The sequence below is a fragment of the Homo sapiens genome, chromosome 17, assembly GCF_000001405.40.
Source record: "Homo sapiens chromosome 17, GRCh38.p14 Primary Assembly".
NCBI lineage: Eukaryota > Metazoa > Chordata > Mammalia > Primates > Hominidae > Homo > Homo sapiens.
Genome location: NC_000017.11, coordinates 7,379,754 through 7,404,511, shown reverse-complemented (window position 1 = coordinate 7,404,511; position 24,758 = coordinate 7,379,754). Strand labels below are relative to the sequence as shown.

At 55.4% G+C, this 24,758-nt stretch overlaps 3 protein-coding genes and 1 long non-coding RNA gene across 14 annotated transcripts, besides 4 other annotated features; 3 read left to right on the top strand and 1 right to left on the bottom strand.

The window, feature by feature from the left end:
- On the top strand, positions 381-14,785 carry TMEM256-PLSCR3 (TMEM256-PLSCR3 readthrough (NMD candidate)). Its single transcript, NR_037719.1, has 10 exons — positions 381-512; positions 823-854; positions 9,422-9,604; positions 10,245-10,408; positions 10,676-10,911; positions 11,003-11,045; positions 11,148-11,368; positions 11,560-11,721; positions 13,717-13,878; positions 14,071-14,785. It is a non-coding gene; the product is annotated as a TMEM256-PLSCR3 readthrough (NMD candidate) (long non-coding RNA).
- TMEM256 (transmembrane protein 256) lies at positions 415-1,537 on the top strand. Its single transcript, NM_152766.5, has 4 exons — positions 415-512; positions 823-854; positions 1,122-1,202; positions 1,303-1,537. The coding sequence occupies exons 1-4, from the start codon at positions 428-430 to the stop codon at positions 1,444-1,446; spliced, it is 342 nt and encodes a 113-aa protein (NP_689979.1). The 5' UTR covers positions 415-427; the 3' UTR covers positions 1,447-1,537.
- Positions 427-606: an enhancer, noted in NCBI's record as "active region_11618". NCBI's record gives its function as "activates an Ori minimal core promoter by ATAC-STARR-seq in GM12878 lymphoblastoid cells {active_cell/tissue: GM12878}" and the evidence as "EXISTENCE:reporter gene assay evidence [ECO:0000049][PMID:35858748]".
- Positions 9,610-10,099: a silencer, noted in NCBI's record as "silent region_8115". NCBI's record gives its function as "represses an Ori minimal core promoter by ATAC-STARR-seq in GM12878 lymphoblastoid cells {active_cell/tissue: GM12878}" and the evidence as "EXISTENCE:reporter gene assay evidence [ECO:0000049][PMID:35858748]".
- Positions 9,987-14,785, top strand: PLSCR3 (phospholipid scramblase 3). 6 transcript variants are annotated; one of them, NM_001201576.2, is made up of 8 exons: positions 9,987-10,035; positions 10,353-10,408; positions 10,676-10,911; positions 11,003-11,045; positions 11,148-11,368; positions 11,560-11,721; positions 13,717-13,878; positions 14,071-14,785. In NM_001201576.2, the coding sequence occupies exons 2-8, from the start codon at positions 10,402-10,404 to the stop codon at positions 14,125-14,127; spliced, it is 888 nt and encodes a 295-aa protein (NP_001188505.1). In that variant the 5' UTR covers positions 9,987-10,035; positions 10,353-10,401; the 3' UTR covers positions 14,128-14,785. The 6 variants fall into 6 exon arrangements, with proteins under 6 accessions (NP_001188505.1, NP_065093.2, NP_001356336.1 ...); NM_020360.4 differs by having other exon boundaries at positions 10,245-10,408; NM_001369407.1 differs by having other exon boundaries at positions 10,241-10,408.
- On the bottom strand, positions 14,770-24,465 carry TNK1 (tyrosine kinase non receptor 1). 6 transcript variants are annotated; one of them, XM_011524045.3, is made up of 13 exons: positions 23,765-24,465; positions 21,423-21,676; positions 21,192-21,262; positions 20,896-21,087; positions 20,648-20,803; positions 20,259-20,542; positions 19,758-20,028; positions 17,857-17,951; positions 17,358-17,522; positions 17,055-17,134; positions 15,808-16,106; positions 15,629-15,724; positions 14,770-15,541 (listed from the first exon to the last, which is right to left on the bottom strand). In XM_011524045.3, the coding sequence occupies exons 2-13, from the start codon at positions 21,583-21,585 to the stop codon at positions 15,428-15,430; spliced, it is 1,986 nt and encodes a 661-aa protein (XP_011522347.1). In that variant the 5' UTR covers positions 21,586-21,676; positions 23,765-24,465; the 3' UTR covers positions 14,770-15,427. The 6 variants fall into 6 exon arrangements, with proteins under 6 accessions (XP_011522347.1, NP_001238831.1, NP_003976.2 ...); NM_001251902.3 differs by lacking the exon at positions 23,765-24,465 and adding an exon at positions 23,398-23,423 and having other exon boundaries at positions 17,358-17,537; NM_003985.6 differs by lacking the exon at positions 23,765-24,465 and adding an exon at positions 23,398-23,423.
- Positions 20,100-20,359: a silencer, noted in NCBI's record as "silent region_8114". NCBI's record gives its function as "represses an Ori minimal core promoter by ATAC-STARR-seq in GM12878 lymphoblastoid cells {active_cell/tissue: GM12878}" and the evidence as "EXISTENCE:reporter gene assay evidence [ECO:0000049][PMID:35858748]".
- Positions 23,405-23,905: an enhancer, noted in NCBI's record as "H3K27ac hESC enhancer chr17:7283926-7284426 (GRCh37/hg19 assembly coordinates)". NCBI's record gives its function as "activates a minimal SCP1, AML or CMV promoter by ChIP-STARR-seq in primed H9 embryonic stem cells {active_cell/tissue: H9 hESC(primed)}" and the evidence as "EXISTENCE:reporter gene assay evidence [ECO:0000049][PMID:30033119]".
- Positions 24,466-24,758: the final 293 nt, after the last annotated feature.

Genomic DNA, 24,758 nt, shown 5'->3' with positions numbered 1-24,758 from the left:
CGGGCCGCCTCTTTTTGGTAGTGGGTTTGATTTGAAGCTGAACAGGAGGAGCCTGTGGAAAAAGGGGCGGAACTTTGAGAGAAGACCGGGATCTTTGGAAATTGGCCGGAGCATGGGGGTGGGGGGTTCGAAGAGGCGATCAACTTGGAAAGTGGGCCAATCCTTGACGCAAATCCCCCTAGTCCCGCCCTCAACCCCGCCCCCCCACTGCTTAGCTCCTCTGTTCCTAATTGGTGCTGGTTTCTCCGCCCGCCAGACGTCTTCGCCACTCTGCAGCGGTTTTACAAAGGCGGGTGAAGAGCGCAATGCTGAAATGAACACGGCCCGGATTGGGCGCCTGTGAACCTTATTTGCATGGGCGGTCGGGATTGGCTGGCCTCTTGGGTGGCCTGGGCGGCGTTGGTCCGGTGCGTCCTGTTCTACAGCTATGGCCGGGCCAGCTGCAGCTTTCCGCCGCTTGGGCGCCTTGTCCGGAGCTGCGGCCTTAGGCTTCGCTTCCTACGGGGCGCACGGTCAGGGGGCTGGGGACGAAGATGGGACTGTACTTGGGGCGTCCTCTGGGGTCTGCTGCAAGGGCGTAACCTATGGGAGGTGCCCGGCCTCTCGTTTATCAGACAGTCCGCGGAGCCCTAAACCTTTTAAAGTCCCCCAGCTGGGTCCAATTGGTTCCCAGTACTGCCCGAGCGTGTTCCCACCAATCGGAAGCTTCCTGGGGCGGGGGGGGGGGTGCCCTTTCTCGCCAATGTCCACCTGGGTCCCCCCGGATTGGGGGCGGTCAGGGCTGGCACTAGGACCGCTAACCTTTGCTTCTTTTCTCCACAGGCGCCCAATTCCCAGATGCCTACGGGAAGGAGGTGAAGTAACTGCGCTGGGGCTCCCTGACTCGTGGGTCTACGAAGGCACAAAGTCTGGGGTCCCTGGGGGAAGTGGGCGGGGAGAGGGTGGGGCGAGCCGCGGATCTCTGGAGCAGCAAAGGCCAAAGGCTCTGTAAGCCAAAGGCCTGGGATCAAGCTGGGACTTCAAGGGTGGGGTGGGGGAAGGAACTTTGGTCCCTTGTGTCATCAGGGGATCTCAGTACCTGTATTGCCTACGACATCCCTTCGTTTCTGTTTTTCTTACAGCTGTTTGACAAGGCCAACAAACACCACTTCTTACACAGCCTGGCCCTGTTAGGGGTGCCCCATTGCAGAAAGCCACTCTGGGTAATCTTTCCCTGCGCCTAACCCTGACCAAGCCCCACACACTCCCTCTCAGCCTGCCCTGTTCTTAACAATCCTGTTTTCTGTGCTGTGTCTCCTTCAGGCTGGGTTATTGCTAGCTTCCGGAACGACCTTATTCTGCACCAGCTTTTACTACCAGGCTCTGAGTGGAGACCCCAGCATCCAGACTTTGGCCCCTGCGGGAGGGACCCTGCTACTCTTGGGCTGGCTTGCCTTGGCTCTTTGAGCTCCCTTTTGCTTAATTACTGGGTTTTCTGGGCAGTTTTTTTTTTAAAGAGTTGGAGTAAGAAGAGGATTAAAAAGGAAAGGCAAATAAACTTTGGAGTCTTTGTTCATCTAACCTCTTGGAGGACGAAGGGTGGGGATTCAACCTCTGAACTCCCTCCATTTCCTAAGACTTAATCAGTGAGCCTTAGGTCTGGGGATTCTGGTCACTTTAAGTTAACTTATTATAATGTTCTTACCCTGGTGGGCATCAAAGTCATAAAGAATGCTTGAAATAACACAGATTCCTACTGAAGCACTCTTTCGGGCCTGAGAATCTGTATTTTAATAAGCTCATCTTGTGGTTCTGATGCATACTAGGTTTTTAATTTTATTATTATTATTATTATTATTTTGAGATGGAGTCTTGCTCTGTCGCCCAGGCTGGAATACAGTGGCGCGACCTCGGCTCACTGCAACCTCTGCCTCCCAGGTTCAAGCGATTCTCCTGCCTCGGCCTCCTGAATAGCTGGGATTACAGGCGCCTGCCACCATGCCCAACTAATTTTTTGTATTTTTAGTAGACACGGGGTTGTGCCATGTTGGCAAGGCTGGTTTTGAACTCCCGACCTCAGGTGATCCGCCTGCCTTGGCCTCCCAAAGTGCTGTGATTACAGGTATGAGCCACCACGCCCGGCCTGTTTTTATTTTTATTTTTATTTTTTTGAGACAGAGTTTCACTCTGTTGCCCAGGCTGGAGTGCAGTGGTGCGATTTTGGTTCACTGCAACCTCCACCTCCTGAGTTCAAGTGATTCTCCTGCCTCAGCCTCCCAAGTAGCTGAGATTATAGGTGCATGCCACCATGCCTGGCTAATTTTTGTATTTTTAGTAGAGATGGGGTTTCACCATATTGGCGAAGCTGGTCTTGAACTCCTGACCTCAAGCAATTCACCCGCCTCAGCCTCCCAAAGTACTGGGATTTTAAAAAATTACTATAGGGTCATGGTTTTCAGCCCTGTTGTTATCAGCACCCACTTACTCTAGAAGTGAGGATTAAGGCAAGGCAGGATAGGAGTGTCATTAGTTACAAAATACTTTGGGGTTCAAAGCAGGGACAGATCATGTATTGGGGATCAGAAAATGTGTCACAATGCTTGAGATGATCCTTAAAGGAGCTCTATTGTATGGAAGAAACAATGAACAAAGAACAAGATGGAGAGGGGAGGGGTTTGGAGAAGCAGGAGTCTTCAATGTGGGCTGAGTTTGAGTTAGGTAGGAAAGGAGTGAGAAAAGGTGGCAGGACAGGCTGGAGTGGCAGTCACAGCATGTAGAGAACTGGAAGATATTTAGTGGGGACAGTATTTATTTATTGTGACGCAGTCTTGCCCTGTTACCCAGGCAGGAGTGCAGTGGCACGATCTCAGCTCACTGCAACCTCCGCCTCCCGGGTTCAAGTGATTCTCCTGCCTCAGCCTCCCGAGTAGCTGGGATTACAGGCGCCCGCAACCGCGCCCGGCTAATTTTTGTATTTTTAGTAGAGACGGGGTTTTGCCATGTTGGCCAGGCTGGTCTCAAACTCCCGACCTCAAGTGATCCACCTGCCTCAGCCTTCCAAAGTGCTGGCATTACAGGTGTGAGCCACTGCTCCTGGCAGGCACAGTATTTATTAAACCAGTGTTGATCATGCGTCAGACACGTTACAAGGAAGATCAACCCTGAGGGAGACAGATATCCCCTCCCTCAAGGAGTTTCCCATCTAGTAGTGGAAATGGACCTGAAATAACTAAACATTTATAAAATTTGCAAAACATGTATCATTACAAATTGTGCTGCATGCTGAAAGGAAAGGAACAGAGAGGACCCTGTGCGATGGCTCAAGCCTGTGATCCCAACATTTTGGAAGGCGGACGTGGGAACATTGCTCGAGCCCAGGAGTTCGAGACCAGCCTGGATAACACAGGGAGACCCCTGTCTTTACAAAAATAAAAAAATAGCGAGGCGTGGTGGCTCACGCCTGTAATCCTAGCACTTTGGGAGGCCGAGGTGGGCGGATCACAAGGTCAGGAGATCGACACTATCCTGGCTAACACGGTGAAACCCCGTCTCTCCTGAAAATACAAAAAAAAATTAGCTGGGCGTGGTGCCGGGCGCCTGTAGTCCCAGCTACTCGGGAGGCTGAGGCAGGAGAATGGCATGAGGCTGAGGCAGGAGAATGGCATGAACCCAGGAGGCGGAGCTTGCAGTGAGCCGAGATAGTGCCACTGCACTCCAGCCTGGGCGACAGAGCGAGACTCCGTCTCAAAAAATAAATAAATGAATAAATAAAAATAAAAATAAAAATAAATAGCCATGGCCAGGTGCGGTGGCTCATGCCTGTAATCCCAGCACTTTGGGAGGCTGAGGCGGGTGGATCACGAGGTCAGGAGATCGAGACCATCCTGGCTAACACAGTGAAACCCCTGTCTCTACTAAAAATACAAAAAAATTAGCCGGGCATGGTGGTGGGAACCTGTGGTCCCAGCTACTCGGGAGGCTGAGGCAGGAGAATGGCGTGAACCCGGGAGGCGGAGCTTGCAGTGAGCCGCGATGGCGCCACTGCACTCCAGCCTGGGCGACAGAGCCAGACTCCGTCTCAAAAAAAAAAAAAAAAAAAAATAGCCAGGTGTAGTGGCTTGTGCCTGTAGCCTGCAGGCCCAGCTACTCGGGAGGCTGAGTTTGGAGGAACACATGTCTGGTTCCTGACTCATCTTTTTTTTTTTTTTTTTTTTTTTTGAGTCAGAGTTTCGCTGGTTGCCCAGGCTGGAGTGCAATGGTGCGATCTCGGCTCACTACAATGTCCGCCTCCTGGGTTCGAGCAATTTTCCTGAATCAGCCTCCCAAGTAGCTGGAATTACAGGCATGCGCCACCATGCCCGGCAAATTTTGTATTTTTAGTAGAGACAGGGTTTCTTCATGCTGGTCAGGCTAATCTCAAACTCGCGACCTCAGGTGATCCGCCCGCCTCGGCCTCCCAAAGTGCTGGGATTACAGACATGAGCCACTGTGCCTGGCCTCTGACTCATCTTTAAAATGAAGAAATATTGTGATCTACGAGTGTACCTCAAATTATGCCATCTCCCTGGATATACATGCTTCATTGGCTCCCCTTTGCCCTCAGAAGACAGTACAACATCTCCGCACAAGGCCCTCCACCATTTGGCCCTGTCATCCTTCTCACAATCCTCAGGCCAGCCCCTAGGAATTCCTTCAGGTCTCTAACACACTCTCTTGCTTCAGGGAAGCCTGGAAAGCTGCTGTTACAGGAGTCGGGAGCTCAGTAGAGACTAGTGTTGGTGATAGAAATTCTGCAATTAAAAGCATGCAGATTGTAACTAGAGATACGGAATGAGATGAAATTACCTAAAATCTTCTCATTAGAGAAAAAATCTGCACACTTTTAAAAATGCATACCGGCAGGGCACAGTGGCTCACACCTGTAATCCCAGCACTTTGGGAGGCTGAGGCATGCAAATCAAGAGGTCAGGAGTTTGAGACCAGGCTGGGCAACATGGTGAAACCCTGTCTCTACTAAAAATTTAAAAAATTAGCTGGGCGTAGTGGTGGGTGCCTGTAATCCCAGCTACTCGGGAGGCTGAGGCAGGAGAATCGCTTGAACCCAGGAGGCGGAGGTTGCAGTGAGCCAAGATCATGTCATTGCACCACTCCAGCCCAGGCGACAGAGTAAGACTCTGTCTCAAAAAAAAAAAAAAAAAAAAAAAAAAAAAGCATACCTTCAGGCCAGTCGCAGCAGCTCACGCCTGTAGTCCCAGCACCTGTAATCCTGGGAGGCTGAGGCAGGTGGATAACATGAGTCCAGGAGTTCGAGACGAGCCTGGCCAACATGGTGAAATGCCGTCTCTACTAAAAATACACAAATTAGCTGGCGTGGTGGTGCATGGTGCTTGTAATCCCAACTACTTGGGTGTCTGAGGCACGAGGATCGCTTGAACCCAGGAGGCGGAGGTTGCAGTGAGCCAAGATCGTGTCACTGCTCTCCAGCCTGGGCAACAGAGCAAGACCTGTCTCAAAAAAGAAAAAAATGCATACCTTCAGAAAAATTAAGTATGCCTTCAATATATTATACAGATTGTACTATATAAAGCATACACAAAAATAGAAATTAAAAATGATGATAGCTGGGTGCGGTGGTGTGTGCCTATAGTCTCACCTACTCAGGAGGCTGAGGCAGAAGGATTGCTTGAGGTTAGGAGTTTGAGACTAGTGTGCTAAGATCAAGCCTGTGAATAGCCACTATACTCCAGCCTGGGCAACACAGCAAGACCCCATCTCAAAAAAAAAAAAAAGAGTGACTTAAACTTTTCAATGACTTACTTACTACTGCACTGCAAATAGATTCCAAGTGCCATACCACTGTCTCCAAGGCCTGCACTGGCCATCCGGGCTTTGTGATTCTTTGTCACTACATGGCATCCACATTGCCAACCCACCACATTTTCTTCTGCCTCAAGATTTTGAGCTGCTCTTTTCAGCCTGTTTTGCAGTTATTCTTTGTGCCTAGAATACACTTCTACACTTTGTGCAAGCTTAGTTTAGCTTCAATAGGATCACCTTGGTGAGGCCTTCCACATCTGAAGGGGCACACCCTCCACCCTCCAGCTGTTCCACCGCCTCTCTGTGCTTTTTCGTTTTGTTTGAGACAGGGTCTCGCTTTGTCACCCAGCTGTAATGCAGTGGTGCCATAAGGACTCGCTGCAGTCTCCATCTCCCAGGGTCAAGCAATTCTCTCACCTCGGCCTCCCGAGTAGCTGGGACTACAGGTGTAAGCTACCACGACTAGCTAATTATTACTTTTTTGTAGAGATGGGGTCTTGCCGGGTGCGGTGGCTCATGCCTGTAATCCCAACACTTTGGGAGGCCGAGGCGGGCAGATCACAAGTTCAGGAGTTCGAGACCAGCCTGTCCGGCATGGTGAAACCCAATCTCTACTAAAAATACAAAAATTATCAGGGTATGGTGGTGCGCACCTGTAGTCCCAGCTACTCGGGAGGCTGAGGCAGGAGAATTGCTTGAACCCAGGAGGTTCAAGAAAGAGATGAGATGGGGTCTCACCATGTCGGCTGCCTAGGCTAGTCTCGAACTGCTAGGCTCAAGCAATCCTCCTGCTTCAGCCCCCTACCCAGTTACTTGGGAGGCTACAGTGGGAGAATAGCTAGAGCTCAGGCGTTCAAGAGCAGCCTGGGCAACATAGTGAGATGCTGTCTCTAAAAAAATAAAAATATCCCAGCACTTTGGGAGGCCGAGGCAGGTGGATGACCTGAGGTCAGGAGTTCAAGAACAGCCTGGCCAAAGTGGTGAAACGCTGTCTCTACTAAAAATACAAAAATTATCTAGGTGTGGTGGCAGGCACCTGTAATCCCAGCTACTCAGGAGGCTGAGGCAGGAGAATCGCTTAAACCTGGGAGGCCATTGCACTCCAGCCTGGGCAACGAGAGCAAAACTCCATCTCAAAAATAATAATAATAATAATAAAATAATAATAATGTGGTAGTATGTGCCTGTAGTCCCAGCTTGAGGATCCCCAGGCATGAGGATAGCTTGAGCCTAAGAATTTTGTTTTGTTTTTGTTTGAGATGTAGTCTCGCTCTGTTGCCCAGGCTGGAATGCAGTGGTGCAATCTCAGCTTGCTGCAGCCTCTGCCTCCCGGGTTCAAGCGATTCTCATGCCTCAGCCTCCTGAGTAGCTGGGATTACAGGCATGTGCCAACCACGCCTGGGCAATTTTTTTGTATTTTTAGTGGAGACGGGGTTTCACTGTGTTGGCCGGGCTGGTCTCAAACTCCTGATCTTCAGTGCTCTGCCTGCCTGGGCAGAGTGGGATTAGAGATGTGAAGTACTGGAATTAGAGATGTGAGCCACTGTGCCCGGCCGAACCTAGGAGTTTGAGGCTGCAGTGATCTCTGATGGTGCCACTGCACTCCCTCCTGGGTGACGGAGCAAGACCTCAGTCTCATAAATAAATAAATAAATATGCTGGGTGTGATGGCCCACACCTGTAATCTCAGCACTTTCGGAGGCTGAGGCAGGTGTACTGTTGGAGCCCAGGAGTTGAAGACCAGCCTGGGCAACATGGCAAAACCCCATCTCTACAAAAAATACAAAAATTAGCTGGACATGGTGGCCCATGCCTGTAGTCCCAGGTACTCGGGAGGCTGAGGTGGGAGGATGCCTTGATCCTGGGAAACAGAAGTTGTAATGAGTGGAGATCATGCCACTGTATTCCAGCCTGGGCAACAGAGCAAGACCCTGTCTCAATAAACAAACAAACAAACAAACAAACAAACCCTTAGAGGGGACCTCCAGAGTGGCCCAAAGGGGCTGGGTGCAGTAGCTCATGCCTGTAATCCCAACACTTTGGGAGGCCAAGGTGTAAGGATCACTTGAGGCCAAGAGTTCCAGACCGGCCTGGCCAACATGCAGAAACCCTGTCTCTACTAAAAATACAAAAATTAGCCGGGTGTGGTGGCTGTAGTCCTGGCTGCTTGGGAGGCTGAGGCAGAAGAATTGCTTGAGCCTGGGAGGTGGAGGTTGCAGTGAGCCAAGATAGCGCCACTGCACTCCAGCCTGGGTGGCAGAGTGAGACTCTCAAAAAAACAGAAAAACCAGAGTGACCCAAAGGTCCAGTGGCAGAGCCAAGGCTGGGTCTGTAGGCTCCTTCCTCCCAGTCCAGTGCTCTCACTGCATTTCCATCCTTCACCTCAGGTGGCATCTAGGGCACAGGGGGAACCTCCACATGGAGAACCACTGCAGTACGTCTCACGTCTCTTCTCTGTCCAGACCCTCCAACATTTCCCATCTCAGGGTATAATTCAGTGGACTAAAAGGCCATGCGTGACCTGGCTTCTTGTGACCCCTCTGACCTTCCCCTCATTAACTCCATTCCAGTCTCACTGGTCTTCTGCCTCAGGACCTATGCCCTTGCTGTTCCCTCTGCCTGAAACACTTACCCAGTAATCTGCACAGCTCAGTCCCTCATCTCCTTTAGGTTCTGGGTCAACTATCATCTTCTTTCTTTCTTTCTTTCTTTTCTTTCTTTTTTTTTTTTGAGACGGAGTCTTGCTTTGTCGCCAGGCTGGAGTGCAGTGGCAAGATCTCAGCTCACTACAACCTCTGCCTCCCAGGTTCAAGCGATTCCCCTGCCTCAGCCTCCCGAGTAGCTGGGACTACAAGCGCCCGCCACCACACCTGGCTAATTTTTTTGTATTTTAGTAGAGACGGGGTTTCACCATATTGGCCAGGATGGTCTCCATCTCCTGACCTCATGATTCGCCTGCCTCGGCCTCCCAAAGTGCTGGGATTACAGGCGTGAGCCACCGTGCCCGGCCTAACTATCGCCTTATTGGTGATGCCTTCGCCTTATTGGTGATGTCTAAATAAATATTTATTTATTTATTTATTTATTTTGAGATGGAGTCTCGCTCTGTTGCCCAGGCTGGAGTGCAATGGCGTAATCTCGGCTCACTGCAACCTCTGCCTCCCGGGTTCAAGAGTTTCTCCTACCTCAGCCTCCTGCATAGCTGGGACTACAGGCGCCCGCCACCACACCCGGCTAATTTTTGTATTTTTAGTAGAGATGGGTTTTTGCCATGTTGGCCAGGCTGGTCTCAAACTCCTGACCTCAGGTGATCCGCCCACCTCGGCCTCCCAAAGTGCTGGAATTACAGGCGTGAGCCACCGCGCCCCGCCACGATCTTTCTAAAACACACATTTGACCTTCTTTGTTCTAAAAATGTCTCGGTGGACTCCTCGCTGCTCGTGGGGCCAAATCGCAGCTTCCACACAACCCGCCCTGTATGTGGACTGCACTCCGTTTCTAAACTCATCTCTTGCGCCACTCAGCCAGTGGCCCCCAAGGCAGGACTGGTCCTGGCTCAGGATCCAGTCGAAGACACTCATCTCGGGGGTCTTTTCTGACCGCGCTTCCTCCTCTGGCCCTCTAGGCGGCCTGAGCACGCTCACTGACACCGTTTGGCGGCCTGTCACCCGCGTGGCTGGGGCACCTGCAGAAACTGCTGTCGCTGCGAGGTGCCCGTGTGGGTCACCGCTGTGCCAGGGAGAGAAGACGGCGAGGTCGCCCCTGGGAGGCAGAAGGCGAGCCAGGAGCCAGTCCTGGAAGCCAATGAGTGAGTGTGAAGGGTGTTCCGCTGCGTCAGCGAGGCCCGACTGCCCTTGGGAGGAGGAGCCCAGGGGCCAGCGCGGCCCGGGCCGCCCTCGCCTCCCACCCAGGGCGCTGAGCACGCACGCCGCCGGCCTGGCGGCGTTCGCGGGGCCCGGGACCAGCCGCCGCCTTCTCCAGGCGCTCCTACTCTCTGGGCATCTGCAGTCCGAGCGGAAGGGGCGGGAACGTCGGCGACGCCGAGGAGCAAAGCCCACGATCGGCTTCCCGGGGCAGCGGACGGCTGCCTTCCTCCCGGCGCAAACGCACCGCCCAGGAGGGGGCGGGCTCGGCGGGTCGGGGGGCGGGGCCGGGGTCCGAGCTCGGGCCCGCCTCCGCCTCCGCCAGCTCCTGTGAGCTGCCGAGTGCTAGGCACCCGGGCTCTTCTGGGGGCTCCAGGTGAGCGGGGGCACAGAGGGGTCAGGGAGACCGCCCTTGGGGTGGGGCTGTCGGTCTGACCGCGGGTCCATCTGTCCTGCCGTCGGCCCACAGCCTCCTCCGCAGGATGGGAGAACAAAGGGAGGGGGCGGTTCTGGGGCCCCCGAGGGAATCCAGGGTCCCAGGTACCCGGTCCCGCCCACTGACACTTGGGTTTCTCCCCGAGTCAGAGGCGCCGCCCAAGAGACCCTGGGCCGGCGCCGGGCGCAGCTGCCTCTCCGTCTTTGTGTCTGTCTCTGTGTCTGTCTGGCTATCTCCGAGTTTGCCTCCGCTTCCAGAACTAAGCCACCCAGACACCATCATCTCGAAAACCCCAGCCCTTCTCCCATGGCAGGTAAGTGCGCGCAAGTCTGGGGGTCTCCGTTATCCCCCCCACGGACTTGGGAGCCGGGTTTGAACACATCCTCCCGGAATGTGCTCGGACTGGCTGGGTGGGGCCCCTCCCTTCCTTCCGGGGAACCTCCACCCTGCTCCCCTGCCCCATCTTTCTCTGCCTCTTGCCACCACGTTTCCCCCGAAGCCTCGCGGCCCATGGGCTGAGGAATAAGGGGATGAGGCCTTGAGTCCCTTTCTAATCTATCCTGCTCCCACCGCTTTACAGGCTACTTGCCCCCCAAAGGCTACGCCCCTTCGCCCCCACCTCCCTACCCTGTCACCCCTGGGTACCCGGAGCCGGCGCTACATCCTGGGCCCGGGCAGGCGCCAGTGCCCGCCCAGGTACCTGCCCCAGCTCCCGGCTTCGCCCTCTTCCCCTCGCCTGGCCCCGTGGCCTTGGGGTCTGCTGCCCCCTTCTTGCCACTGCCAGGGGTGCCTTCTGGCCTCGAATTCCTGGTGCAGGTGAGTGGGAAGGAGGGAGGGAGGATGACTGGGAGGGGACTTGGGCGTCCAGATGGGCCAGCTGATGTGCGCGCCGCCCCTCTCTTTCCAGATTGATCAGATTTTGATTCACCAGAAGGCTGAGCGAGTGGAAAGTAAGTAGAAGGAGTGGGAGGTTGGACCTCATGATGGTGGCCCGGATGGTGGGCTCCTGGGCGCGCGAGGCTCTACGAGTCTCCCCGTGTCACCTCGGGCAGCGTTCCTAGGCTGGGAGACCTGTAATCGGTATGAACTGCGCTCTGGGGCCGGGCAGCCCCTGGGTCAGGCGGCCGAGGAGAGCAACTGCTGCGCCCGTCTGTGCTGTGGCGCCCGCCGGCCGCTGCGTGTCCGCCTGGCCGACCCCGGGGACCGTGAGGTGCTGCGTTTGCTCCGCCCGCTGCACTGTGGCTGCAGCTGCTGCCCCTGTGGCCTCCAGGAGGTGGGCGGAGGGAGGGGGCCGGGAGGGCGGGCCTTGGTGGGGCGGGACAATGATGAGGTCCACCTGAGATGAGGCCTGGATCAGGTGGGAGTGGGCAGGTGGGGATGGGAGGTTTAGTGAGGGCCAAATAGACAGATGATAGAGCTGGGACCCCTGCCTCCGCAGTGACCCTGTCTGCTTCCCACTCCCAGATGGAAGTACAGGCTCCACCAGGCACCACCATTGGCCACGTGCTACAGACCTGGCATCCCTTCCTCCCCAAGTTCTCCATCCAGGATGCCGATCGCCAGACAGTCTTGCGAGTGGTGGGGCCCTGCTGGACCTGTGGCTGTGGCACAGACACCAACTTTGAGGTATCAGGAATACTAGAGGCTCTTGGGACCTTCGTAAACCAAGATGATGCTTCCATGAGGCAGGATAGTTAACATTAAGGTCAAGACCCTGAGCTCATCAATCCAAATCCACTGTGACTCCGACCGCATTTGTAGCATTCCTCCATTTGGAAATAGGATGGCCCTGTGCTCTTATAAAAGCATAACAACGAGGATTTCATCTTAAGGAGCAATGCTGATTATTACAAGTGGCCCTGAGATGGGCAGAAAAAAAATCTAAGGCCAGCCTGGATTTGGGGTGAAGGACGATTAAGTCTGTGTGGGCCGGGCCCATGTGGCTGCTGTGTATGAGTGTGTGAGCCCAGGCCCTGGAGCAAGCACGATTTTAACATGTTAACATCCTGTGGCCTGCCCTGCTAAAATAGAATCCAAATGCCCCTGCCATTCCGAAATCCAGTATATCCTTCTCACTGTGCATTCCTGTCACCAGTCTGGAAGCTAGAGATCCCAAGTGGCAAGAATTTCAGAGTGAGGTGAGGCCTGGGAAGCACCTTGGTTTCTAGAAGACAAAGGCACTCCACAGACCCTTGAGTTCTTTTTTTGTTTGTTTTTTGTTTGTTTGTTTTGAGACAGAGTCTTGCTCTTGTTGCCCAGGTGGGAGTGCTATGGCATGATCTCAGCTCACTGCAGTCTTTGCCTCCCGGGTTCAAGCAATTCTCCTGCCTAAACCTCCCGAGTAGCTAGGATTACAGGCATGCGCCGCCATGCCTGGCTAATTTTATATTTTTAGTAGAGACGAGGTTTCTCCATGTTGGTCAGGCTGGTCTCGAACTCCTGACCTCAGGTGATCCGCCCACCTCAGCCTCCCAAAGTGCTGGGATTACAGGCGTGAGCCACCGCACCTGACCGACCCTTGAGTTCTTTAAGGGATAATTGCTTGTGCAGATAAGGGAGAAACAACAGGTATAATCCAGTAGACTTTCCAACGCTTCTAATGAGGTACCCTACCTAAGGTTACTTTGCAAAAATGAGTCACCTTGGTAGCCAGAGGGAGATTCCATGATGAGAACCAATTGGGAATAAGATATAATAACTGCGTGATCTCCAGATGGGAATGTATAGGCTGTGGGGTTCTCATAGGGCCAGTGTCCCTTTTGCATAATTATAAATGGTCCATACTTGGGGCTGTACCCTTAGGACCATGGCAGGAAGTGCCCCAGAGCTGTAGGACAGTGCAGGAAGGGGATGGGAATGGCACAAAAGGAAATCACTGCAGTTCTAATCACTGGAGAACGAGCACAGGAAAAGGACCAGGAAGTCACGGGGAGTAACTACCCACATCAGCAGAGCCTGTTGCTGTGTGGCTCAGAGAAGCCAGTGGAAATTGTGGTCCTCAAAGGCTACTTACTGCTGCCTCTCTCCACAGTAGATAGGCATGTATCCCTCTCTAGATGAGGCTCTCATGCAGTGCTGGGCAAGGCCCTCCCCTACTTTGCAGATTAGAGAAAAGGTACTCTTCGGGGTAGACATAGCCTTCTAGGAGCCTTCTTGACTGGTGAAGTACAGCCAGAATTCCAGTAGCTTTCCTTGCCCTTTTGGCCAGGTTACTTTGTGTAGGGCACAAGCTGTGCCAATTGTGGGTGGCAGGGGCATTGGGAACCAGAGCAAACCTAGCAAACAGCCATACCCTAAGGGGGTTGGATTGTCATGCTTCCATTTCTCCCACCACTGATGTTCAGTTATGTCATGCGTCGCCTTTCGATAGCAGCAGATCTGAGTCTGAATCCTAATTTTGGGTATAGACTCAGCGTGATCTAGAGTGCCTCAGTTTCCCCAGCTGTCATACTCTGTGATGGGAACCAGTTAGGAAAGCGATCACTCGGTGACCATTAGAGGGGAAGATTCACTGAGTGGAGACCCTGCAAATTCATACGTGCGACTGTGGGAATGAGACTGGAGCAGGTGAGACTGGCTGCCTCCTCCTCAGCTGGGTCCTTTCTCCCTCCCTGATGACAGGTGAAGACTCGGGATGAATCCCGCAGTGTGGGCCGCATCAGCAAGCAGTGGGGGGGCCTGGTCCGAGAAGCCCTCACAGATGCAGATGACTTTGGCCTACAGTTCCCGCTGGACCTGGATGTGAGGGTGAAGGCTGTGCTGCTGGGAGCCACATTCCTCATTGTGAGTTGGCTGCCCCTGCCCCCACCTCCTGCCTGTCCTTTGCTGTCATTTGAAGCTTTATGCATTTCCTGGCCTCTTGCTAGGGGAAAGTCAGGAATAGGTGTTGTGGGGGTTGAGGTTCTAGAGCTGGCCTGTGACAGCCAAGCTGGGCTGGCCCAGCCGGATCTCCCATTGACAGTGGCCTCCTCTTAGGACTACATGTTCTTTGAGAAGCGAGGAGGCGCTGGGCCCTCTGCCGTCACCAGTTAGAGGCCACCATGGTGTGAGGAGACCATCACCTCGACCAGAACTCCAGATGGTCACCTGCCCTGGCCCCTCCTCTGGGCAGCCCCTTTCCTCCATGTACACTGCAGGGGACAGAAGGGGGGCCCCATCCCTACCCTACTCCCTGGCCGCCTGCCCCTGTGGTTCCCAAGGAGGGGTATGTATGAGAGCCGCTCTCCTGCTACCTCCCACCACTGTCCCAGCAGTCCCTCGGCACACAGGCATATCAGCTTTCACACTTTCCCCATGCACTCTCTCCCACCCCCTTCCAGGGCCTCTGCTCCAAAGGAGGCCTCTGGAACCCAGGACTCTGGGGTTTTACAAGAGGGCTGGGGTGTGGAAGGGCAAGCTGCACCAAAGACGGTGGATATAGCCACCGCCCCCCCGCCGCTGCCTAGCATCTGCTTGGCCAATTAGTTCAGCCTCAGACCATGGCACTTTGAGGGGGTCTCTACCTCCCCATCAACAGCTGCAGGGGGACCCCAGTGCCAACTTCCTCTCCCACTAGGGCCCTGCCTTCAGCTGGTGCTTGCTGCGATTCCTGTGCCTTATGTAACTGCCCTTCCTTCCCTTGCCCTAGGAAAAAGGCTGCATCTTTATATGTTACATTCATATAAACTTTGTAACTTTTTGGACATTGAAAGATGTATGTAATAGGGGAGGGTAGAAGCAGTTGGTATGGGAAAAAACAAAGGGGAATGTGAGAGCTGGGCTGGGGCAGGGGCTAGTCCATCTCATAATCCATACTACCAGCATCAAATGTCCTTGAGTGCAAGAGAGCAATCGTCATCACCCACGATGGCCCTGGACCAAACGAAGGCAGTTTGGGCCTATACCCCAAGTCAATATGGTGGCTTCCATCATCCAGGATGGCTGCCCTGCAGAGTCCAGTGTGGTAGCTGATGGCAGTTCAGGATGGCTGTTCACATGGTCCAGTGTGGCCCCTTGATCCTCTCTAGCGCGTAGAAGCTTCCTCTGCATATGATGTATAGCAGCTCTTTTCTTCCAAGTCCTCTTGTTTGAGAATGTAGTGGGCAGACTAGATCCTTCTTGGCCCAGCCAAAGGAGCTTCAGCCTTCAGAAGCCAAGGAGCATGGGAGGGAGGAGACATTTGCCAGTGCCCAACTCTGGGCTCCTCCTCCATGTGCCTACGGCAGGTGGGATCTCCCCAGGTGGAACGTCTACCCCTGTCGGGACCTTGTTCTGGTTCCGCTTGGTCCCATGTGGCCAGGCCCTCAGGGGCCTAGGCTTTTCATGCTGGTGTCTGTGCCCGCAGAAGCTGAGCTCAGGGCCTGGCCAGGACATAGCGGCTGGCAGCTGAGAGGTCCCACTGGTAATGCTCCAGGATGCGCCAGCAGTCAGCTCTGGACCGGCTACTCAGGTGGAAGAGCTGATCTACCTGTGGAAGCAGGAGGGTGGGTTGCAGCTGACTGCCAGGCGGCAGGGGCAGGAGAGGAGGGACCCCAAGAGAAGGGGCTGGCTTTACCTTGAGGTTCCGGATGGCAGAAACCACATCTCCCCCAGTGGCTCCTAGTGCTGTCTGGCACTCCTGGTGGGTGACCCCATGCACACTCAGCTCCACCTGTGACAGACAAAGCCTCACTCAGGCCCCTGCCCCTGCCTGTAGCCCCTTCTGGACACCAGGCCATTTCAGTGAGACCTCACCTCCATAATCTTCCTCTGCAACTCAGGATCGGACAAGAGGCCTCCAGAGAGGGCAGCGGCTTTACGGGCTCCAGGCATTCCCATGGGGTGATTGTGTGGGGGTTTTCTTTTGGGCCAGGGAAGCCTCTCCCTAGAGGGCTGGCTGGGCTGAGGAGAGCTAGAGGATAAAGGTGGGCGTGGAGGCAGGCCTGGAGGTCCCTGGGGCACAGCTCTGGCTTGTCGAATTTCAGGGGGGCTTGAACCACCCCCTGTGGGACGAGGACCGAGGGACAGAACTGACTCCAGACTCCTGGAAATGCCTGCACAGTTGAGAAGGAAACAACTTGAACTCGGCTGGCTGCAGCCTCCGCCTCCCGGGCTCAAGCGATCCTCCCACCTCAGCCTCCCGAGTAGCTGGGACTATAGGTGCCTGCCATTACGACTGGCTAATTTTTGTATTTTTGTAGAGAAGGGGTTTCGGCACATTGCCCAGGCTGGTCTCAAACTCCTGGACTCAAGCCATCCACCCACGCTGGGCTCCCAAAGTGCTGGGATTACAGGCTTGAGCCACCATGCCTGGCCCCACTCTCTGTCTTCATCTGTGCTGAGCTGGATGGTTTTGCAAGCATTTGCAGATGAGCTAGCCAGCCCTGTCCCTGGGTGGTTCATGTGTCAGGTGGGACAATAAGACAGATGGGCAAGTGGACACCAAGGCCTAGGCGGAGGGCCCAGAGAACTCAGAGCTCAGGGCCCAGAGTGTGGAGGTGCTCTTCAGAAGGGAAGGCAGGAGGGCTTCCTATCTTTTAAGATTCCACAGTATAGGGCCGGACGCAGTGTCTCACGCCTGTAATCCCAGCACTTTGAGAGGCCGAGGCAGGCAGATCACCCGAGGTGGGGAGTTCAAGGCCAGCCTGGGCAACAGGGTGAAACCTCATCTCTACTAAAAATACAAAATTAGCCGGGTGTGGTGGCACATGCCTGTAGTCCCAGCTACTCGGGAGGCTGAGGCAGGAGAATCGCTTGAACCCGGGAGGTGGAGGTTGCGGTGAGCCAAGATCACGCTACTGCACTCCAGCCTGGGCAAAAAGAGTGAAACTCTGTCTCAAAAAAAAAAAAAAAAAATAGATTGCACAGTATAGCTAGGATGCCAGCAGACAGAATTCAGAGGAAGGAAATAATAGATGCAAAGGCATGGATTTAGGGCAGGGGGTCGGAATTGAAGGACTGGTCTTGATCTCCTCAGAGACTCTGGAGTCCACCACACCCACCTTTCATCCTCTCCAGGGGCATGTTCCTCCTCTGGCCCCGTGCTGGGGGCGCATCCCAAAGATTTGCCTTCTTTCTGTCTCTGTCGGAGAGGGATCCAGTTCATCCTCCACACCAACTCTCCCCACCCCACAGATCAATATACCCTCCCAAAAAAACTCACAGGGGAACCCAGGAGACCCAGGGCCCAGGGTGGAGGCTGCAGCTTCACTCTGGTCCTGTCCCCAGGCTTCTCTTCCAGAGAAGCTCCTGGACCTCATCAGTTCTCCCAGCCAACCCCTGCCCTCACCCTTTCAGGTCCTCACCCATCTATGCTTCCTGGGTGTTGATCTCCCCGGGCAGGGGTGCCTCTGTGGACTGGACGGGTGGCTGGCAAGCCCCCCGCATCTGCCAGCGTCACTGCCGAGGCTGGGAAGCTGCCCACTTTGAAGGTGCGACCATTCTGGCCCTTCCAGATTGTGGAGTCGGGGCTGTGGAAAGAGGAGCTGGTAAATAGGATGGGAATAAGGGCAAGAGTTAGGGCTGGGCCCTGGCCCACAGTCAGCTCACTAGGCTATGTGCCTTGGAGCCGCATCTGCCTGGAGGAAGGGAAGCCTTTTCCCTAATGCAATAAGGCTCTATGGGCCAGCAGTGGCTCCAGCAGGGAGGCCAGGACCATGCTGGAGCTTTCAGGACCCAGTGGGGAGAGGAGATGAGACAGAAGATCAGGGTTCAAGGAGCTGGAGAGAAGCAGAGAAGGGATCAGGAATTAGGCTGGGAGGGTATCCTCCTCCTGAGGGTGCTTGGGAGGTATGGGACTGTCACCTGCCCTCGATGACTGTGATGGGGTCACCAGTCTCCATCCTCAGGGCGCCTGGTTCTGTGACATCCCTCACACAACATGCTTCCGAAGGCCCGGCCTGTGGAGACAAGAGGAAAGGGTGGCTGGGCTTGTGGCCTGAGTCAGATAGGTAATATGGGAGCAGGAATAAAGAGGAGCTCCGCTCTGTATGTAGTCTGTGCTGGGCCCAGGGTGGGACTCTCCCTGTCCCCCCATTGTAATTCAGTGAGGGAGGCAGACCTGGATCCCATGACAAACAGGTCAGGGCTCAAGGAGCAAGAGAGGAGGGCCCTGGCTCTACCTGGGGGGACTAACAGGAGCGTCATCCTGTACACTGCTTTCACTCCACATCCAGGCCTGTCAGAGCAGCCTCCCAAGCCCCTCTGGGAAATTTCCACTCCTCTGCAGCCCCACCGCCTCTACCCTCATCCAGACCTCTTCATCTCCCTTCTGCTTCACAGCCACTGTTGCCTACCTGGTCTCCCAGCCTCAGCATCATCCCTCTAATCCATTCTTGCGCCACATCAGAGTGCCGTCATGGTGAGAGTGGCTTGTAACTCCCCTGCCTAATAGGCTTCCCTGGCTCCCAAATGCCTTCAGAGTAAAGACTAAGCTTTAGTGGTAGAGTGTAGCAGCTTAGGGAACAGCTCTGAAGTCAAACTGACTGGCTCAAATCCCAACTCCTCCACTTACCATGTGACTTTAGGCAAGTCACTTAAACTCTCAGTGCCTCAACTGCCCATCAGTAACATGGAGATAATAATTACCTCATCCAGGCCGGGCACGGTGGCTCATGCCTGTAATCCCAACACTTTGGGAGGCCAAGGCAGGTGGATCATTTGAGGTCAGGAGTTCGAAACCAGCCTGGCCAACATGGTGAAACCCCATCTCTACTAAAAATACAAAAATTAGCCAGGCGTGGTGGCAGGCGCCTGTAATCCCAGCTACTCGGGAGGCTGAAACAGGAGAATTGCTTGAACCCAGGAGGCGGAGGTTGCAGTGAGCCAAGATCCCACCACTGCACTCCAGCTAGGGTGACAGAGCAAGACTGTCTCAAAATAAAATACTACTAATAATAATTACCTCATCCAGTGGTTGAGAGCATTAAATGAGCGAATCTGCATAAGCGCCCATGTAAAGTGCACAGTGCAGTGTCCTGCACAGGTCAAGTGCTCTACGTGTTAGCTTAACACGCCTTGCAAAGCCCTCCATGACACAGCTCCTGCTCTCTCTGTGGCCTCATTACTTCTTCTTCTTCTTCTTTTTTTTTTTTTTGAGACGGAGTTCGCTCTTTTTGCCCAGGCTGGAGTGCGATGGTGTGATCTCGGCTCACCGCAACCTCTGCCTCCCAGGTTCAAGCGATTCTCCTGCCTCAGCCTCCCGAGTAGCTGGGATTACAGGCATGCACCACCAGACCCAGCTAATTTTGTATTTTTTAGTAGAGACGGGGTTTCTCCATGTTGGTCAGGCTGGTCTTGAACTCCCGACCTCAGGTGATCTGCCCACCTCCGCCTCCCAAAGTGCTGGGATTAGAGACGTGAGCCACCGCGCCCGGCCTGCGGCTTCATTATTTCTATTTTCCCCTCCCACGCTGAGCCCTTCTCTTCCTCTGCGTGTCAACACGACTGCAACTGAGTGCTGTCTCCTCTATGCCCCTTTCCTGGCCCAGACACAGACCCCAGCCTTTCAGTCTGCATCTGTGTAGCCCCAAGCTGCCTCCCCAGGGCTCTGATCTCCCTGCAGGTAGGGACTGCATCTGTTTTGCTCAGAGCTGAGTCCCAGAGCCCAGCACAGACATCTAGATGTGTTAGTCTTCGCATGGAACCCTGGGAGAGCGAATGGAGGGAAGAGGGACTGTGTATCTGGTGAGGTCGGGGGTTCCCACCTCTTGCAGCAGCCCCTCCAGGTGGGAAAAGCTAGGCCGGTCGGCAGGGTGGGGGGCCCAGCAGCGCAAGGCGAGGGAGTAGAGGGCCCTGGAGCAGAGGGGAGGCCTAGGCAGCCGGGCTCTGTCCTCCAGCCGCTGCAGGATGAGGTACGGTGGGACCCCGGCCCAGGGTTCCTCGCCCCCGGAGAACATCTCCCACAGCGTCACCCCAAACATCCACACGTCCGAGGCAGACGAGAAGGCTCCGTGGCGCAGGCTCTCTGGGGCACACCTGCCGAAGGAAGTGGAGCTGAAAGGGGCGGGACACGTGCTCCTTGGAGGCCCACCCTCCACGGAGCACCCCCGAGTGCACCCATCTTTCACAAAAGTCCTCTTTGCCTAGGAGGATAACCCTTCTGGTCCAAGCCTCCCTCAGAAGCCCGGCCCCCTCCGATCTCCCTCGGCTGCTGCCCTCCGGATCCGCCCGGCTCAGAGCCCGACCGCCCGCGGACCCGCTCTCACCAGGCGTAGGGGATAGGGCGGGGCCCGCCCATGACGTAGCGGCCCCGGGCACCGCCCAGAGGCCGCACCAGCCCGAAGTCAGCCACCTTGATGGTGCGCGGCGACGCCAGCAGTAGGTTGCGCGTAGCGAGGTCTCGGTGCACCAGCCCGCGGGCCCCCAGGTACGCCATGGCTCCCGCCAGCTGCCGCAGGAAGAGGCAGAGCAGGGCCACGAGCAGCGGGGGTGTCGGGGCCGGGGCCGTTAGGCGCGCGTGCAGGGAGCCCAGTGGCGCCAGCTCCATCACCTGCAGGAGGGAACACCGCGCCGCGTGAGCCGGACCCATTGGACCCTGGCCGCCCACGCTCCTGCCGCACGGCTGTCCCGGGAACCAGCGGCTGGATCTGCTCACCATCTGCAGAGGCTGGCCCAGTACAAGGCCGTGCAGACGCAGCACGTGTGGGTGCTCCAAGTTCATCATGACCGATACCTCTCGCAGGAAGTCCCCCAGTTCTGTGCCCATCGGGCCTTCGGGACCTACCCGGAGGGACTTGACAGCCACTGGGACCTGGAGGTGGGGGGAAGCGCCTTTAGGCATTGCGGGCATGAAGAACAGAGGGGGCAGCTGGCCTGGATGAAGCGGGCTCCCTGGACACTCACACTCTTGCCACTGGGCAGCGTCCACAGCCCTCGGTGCACCACACCGAAGCAGCCTGAACCCAGCAGCTCCCCTCTGCAAACAGCACCCTCTGGGATCAGACACTTGAGGCCCCCCTCTGGCTCAGGGAGGTGCCGTGGGCTGTCCGAGGGCAGGGTGGGCTCCTTGTGCTCAGGGGCAAAACCTCCAAGGATCTGAAACAGGGATGGGAAATCCGGTATGCAGAGCCCTGCGCCCCCCTCCCTGCCCCTCAAGCCACCTCATTCCCAGGCCCAAGCTGCCCACCTACAACACACACCTTGTAGACCCAGTTCTTAGACTTAGGCCCAGAACGTAGCCTTTTCAGAGCTTCGGACAGTCTGCGCTGGGCTGTGGGAGGCCAGAATCAGGGCTGGAGTGGAGGTGGGTGTGGGGAAGAGTGCGGAGAGACTTACAGGGAAGAAAAGGGCTGGAAGAGGGTTGTGGTGGGGGAAGGCAACTGATAGGCTGTGGACAGAGAGACCAGGGCCTCGGGGCAGGGGTCCCTCACCAGGCCGGCCCATGCCAATGCCGTCCAGGTCCTCAGGCTTTACAAAGTCGAAGTGCTCTGGCCGAGTGACATTAAGCTCCTCAAGGATGGGCCAGTAAAACTGGGCCAACTGGATGTCCCGGAGCAGCTTCAGTAGCCACAGGGAGCCAGCCTCAGGAAGCATGTCTGGAGAAGGAGTTCCTAAGGATGATGGCACTCTCCTTCAGATGGTGAGCTCAGGGTAGGCCCTAGAGAGACCAGGTCTCCAGCTCCACCTGCAAGTCATTAGAAACACTCAGGTACAGAGGCAGGGACACAGCAGAGACAGCCAGGATCCCTGCCACTCACGCACACAAATCCCAGATAGAATGTTCCCCGTGCCCAGGCATCCGGGTACTCTGTCCCTTCACCGCTGAGTAACCTGCCCTGCTCACACCTGCAATTTTAGCATACTGCCTGCTCCTACTACAGACTCCAGGTATGTTACCATCCTGACTCTGAAATATCACGGCACATCACACACCCGGACACCCAGAAACACTGCCCTTTTAGACCTGAGCTACGCAGTGGCACAAACTCACTCATACACACCTGAGACGACATCTCCCTTCCTCCAACATGAGACATCTCCCTTCCTCCAACATGAGACATGTTTGCCTACCACACACACTGGAGATGCTCAGATATGACAACCACACCATACCTCAGACATGTAGGTAGAGCACGCACACACACGAAGGTACACTGCCTCCCACATGCTGCCACACACACACACTGAGACCTACAGATATACTGCAAAACATGGCCGAGACTCCCAAATACATGTCCTCTTTTTTTTTTTTTTTGAGACGGAGTCTCGCTCTGTCATCTAGGCTGGAATGCAGTGGCGTGATCTCAGCTCGCTGCAACCTCCGCCTCCCGGGTTCAAGCAATTCTTCTGCCTCAGCCTCCCAAGTAGCTGGGACTACAGGCGCGTGCCACCATGCCCGGCTATTTTTTGTATTTTTAGTAGAGATGGGGTTTCACCATATTGGCCAGGCTGGTCTTGAACTCCTGACCTCGTGATCCGCCCGCCTCGGCCACCCAAAGTGCTGGGATTACAGGCGTGAGCCACTGCGCCCGGCCGATATATGTCGTCTTAACGCTGAGACATTTCAGCATGCGGCCACAAAACGCCCAGGCTCATCTGTGTCCTTCCATGAGATGTTCCTTGTACATACGTGTCACATCCATGGGACATGGCAGTTCACTGCCTCCAAACACCTAGATACACTGCCCCACACGGCTAAGACACAAAGGTCCACATGAACACAACACACAGACATCGAGGTACAGTGTGCACACAGCATACCTGAGCTATGGGGGCATAGGGACCCCTCAAGCCAAAAGAGGTCCACAGTCATTGCCTCTCCTCCACCGGAGGCAGCAACATTTGAAATCAAATCAGGCACTTGTGATGGCCGCTAGGCTTAGGTGCTGCCTATGGAGCCACTGAGGCTGTCAGGTACACAGTCCCACACCTACCTGAGCTCAGCCCCAGGCACAGATGCCTGCTGGCAGCCTGAGTCACTCGGTCTAACTTGGCTTCAAGGCAACTCCACCAACCTTTGTTAAATAAGGCTCTGGGCCTCTGGGTACTGGCAGCCTGCTCACACTTTCCCTAGCACACTCCTGGACCCGTCCCTTCCCCTACATTATAAGCAAGGAGGAAGAAGAGGATCGAGGCTGGGCCTAGTTGGAAACGCGCAGGTGGACTCAGAACCGGGCGCGAACAGGGTTGGGTTGGGAAGGAGAAAGCCCAGGACCCTGGGGGACCCGGCCCTGCGCGCTCGGTGGGAAGCGGGGAGCGCAGAAGGGAGACAGGAGGAAGCGCGGCTGCGGGAGGGAAGGACGCAGGAGAAGAGGACAGGCCCAGCGCCCCCCGGACGCGCCCCCAGCGACGGCTGCTCCGCCGGCTCTCCCCAGCCCGGGCCCCCTGCTCGGTCCGGACCCTCACCTGGTCAAGGCGGAAGCGGCGACTGCGGAACCTCCCAGGCTGCCTGGGCTAAATCCGAGGAGGCGGGACAGGAGTAAATCCCGCGGAGGGCGGGGACCTGGCCGCTGGCCCGGGGCCGGCGAGGGCCGCACCCCGAGTTCCCTAGTGGGACAAGGTGACGGTCCCCAGGGCGACTGGCGGCCCCTCCCTCCTCCAGACCAGATCGCCCCGACTGTGAGAAGCCCCCTTCCCTTCTCCTCTGCTCGTCTTCCTTCACGTCTTTCCAGCCTTCTCCGAATAGCTTCCCAGCCCTCCCCAGACTTCACTCCTCTGTCTCTGTCCCCCATGCCCTCTCGCCAAATCCTTCACCTCTCAGCCAGGACCCTACCTCTTACATGAATAAGCGCCCGATAGAGCTATCCTGTCCACGCACAGGGAATATAAGGCTAAATAGGACACAGTTCCTGCCCCATGGCAGGGGGTTCAGAGCTTCCTAGCAGGCTTTACTTAATGAACCCTGGAATGGGGCCAGGGCAGAGAGATGTTGATGCTGGTACGGAGAGTTGGCCCTGGCCTAGACAGAGTCTACAGTTGAAGCTGTTGTTGATCACCGGCAGCATTCCATGCCTCAGGGCACGCTTCCCCATTACTGACACTCCTGGGCTTCCTTCCAGCGTAACGCCTGCTCTCCATGCAAGCTCTGCAGAACTCAGGGCCCTGCACACTGCTACCTAGCCTGTGGCCACTGGGACTAAGTCCAGGACCTTGAAGAAGGCCCTGAGGAGGACCATTTGTCTCCGCTTCTCTCAGGGGTCCCAGAGAGGAAGCTGCCAGTCTTAGGACATCTAGTCTGTCCCCTGTCCCAAGGAAGGACGCGTGAACATAGCAGCTGCTGTCCCAAGGGTCCCTTGGAGGGAAAAGCCCTCCTGGTCTTGGTAAACATGTAGGATGTTTGATCCCAACTGCCACCTCCACGTTTCCCAGCCTCGGGTCCTCTTCTTCCTCCTTGCTTATAATGTGGGGTAAGGGAGGGGTCCAGATGTCTGTAAGGGAAAGTGTGAGCAGGCAGCCAGTACCCAGAGACCCAGAGCCTTATTTAATAAAGGCTGGTGGAGTTGCCTTGAAACCAAGTTAGACCGAGTGACTCTCAGGCTGCCAGCAAGGATCTGTGCTTGGGGGCCAGTCCCTGTGTGGATCCTACGTGGGATAGGAAAATCTTCATAATGCTGTTCTATGGTATTGTTTTCTTGCCGATTCTTTTGCCCTCCAACCAGGATCGCTCATCACACTATAATTGTTACTGCACATCTGCGATCCCTGTTAGAGGTTCTGTAGCTCCACAGGGTAGGGGCTGGGCCTGGCTTGTTCATACTTGTGTTCTA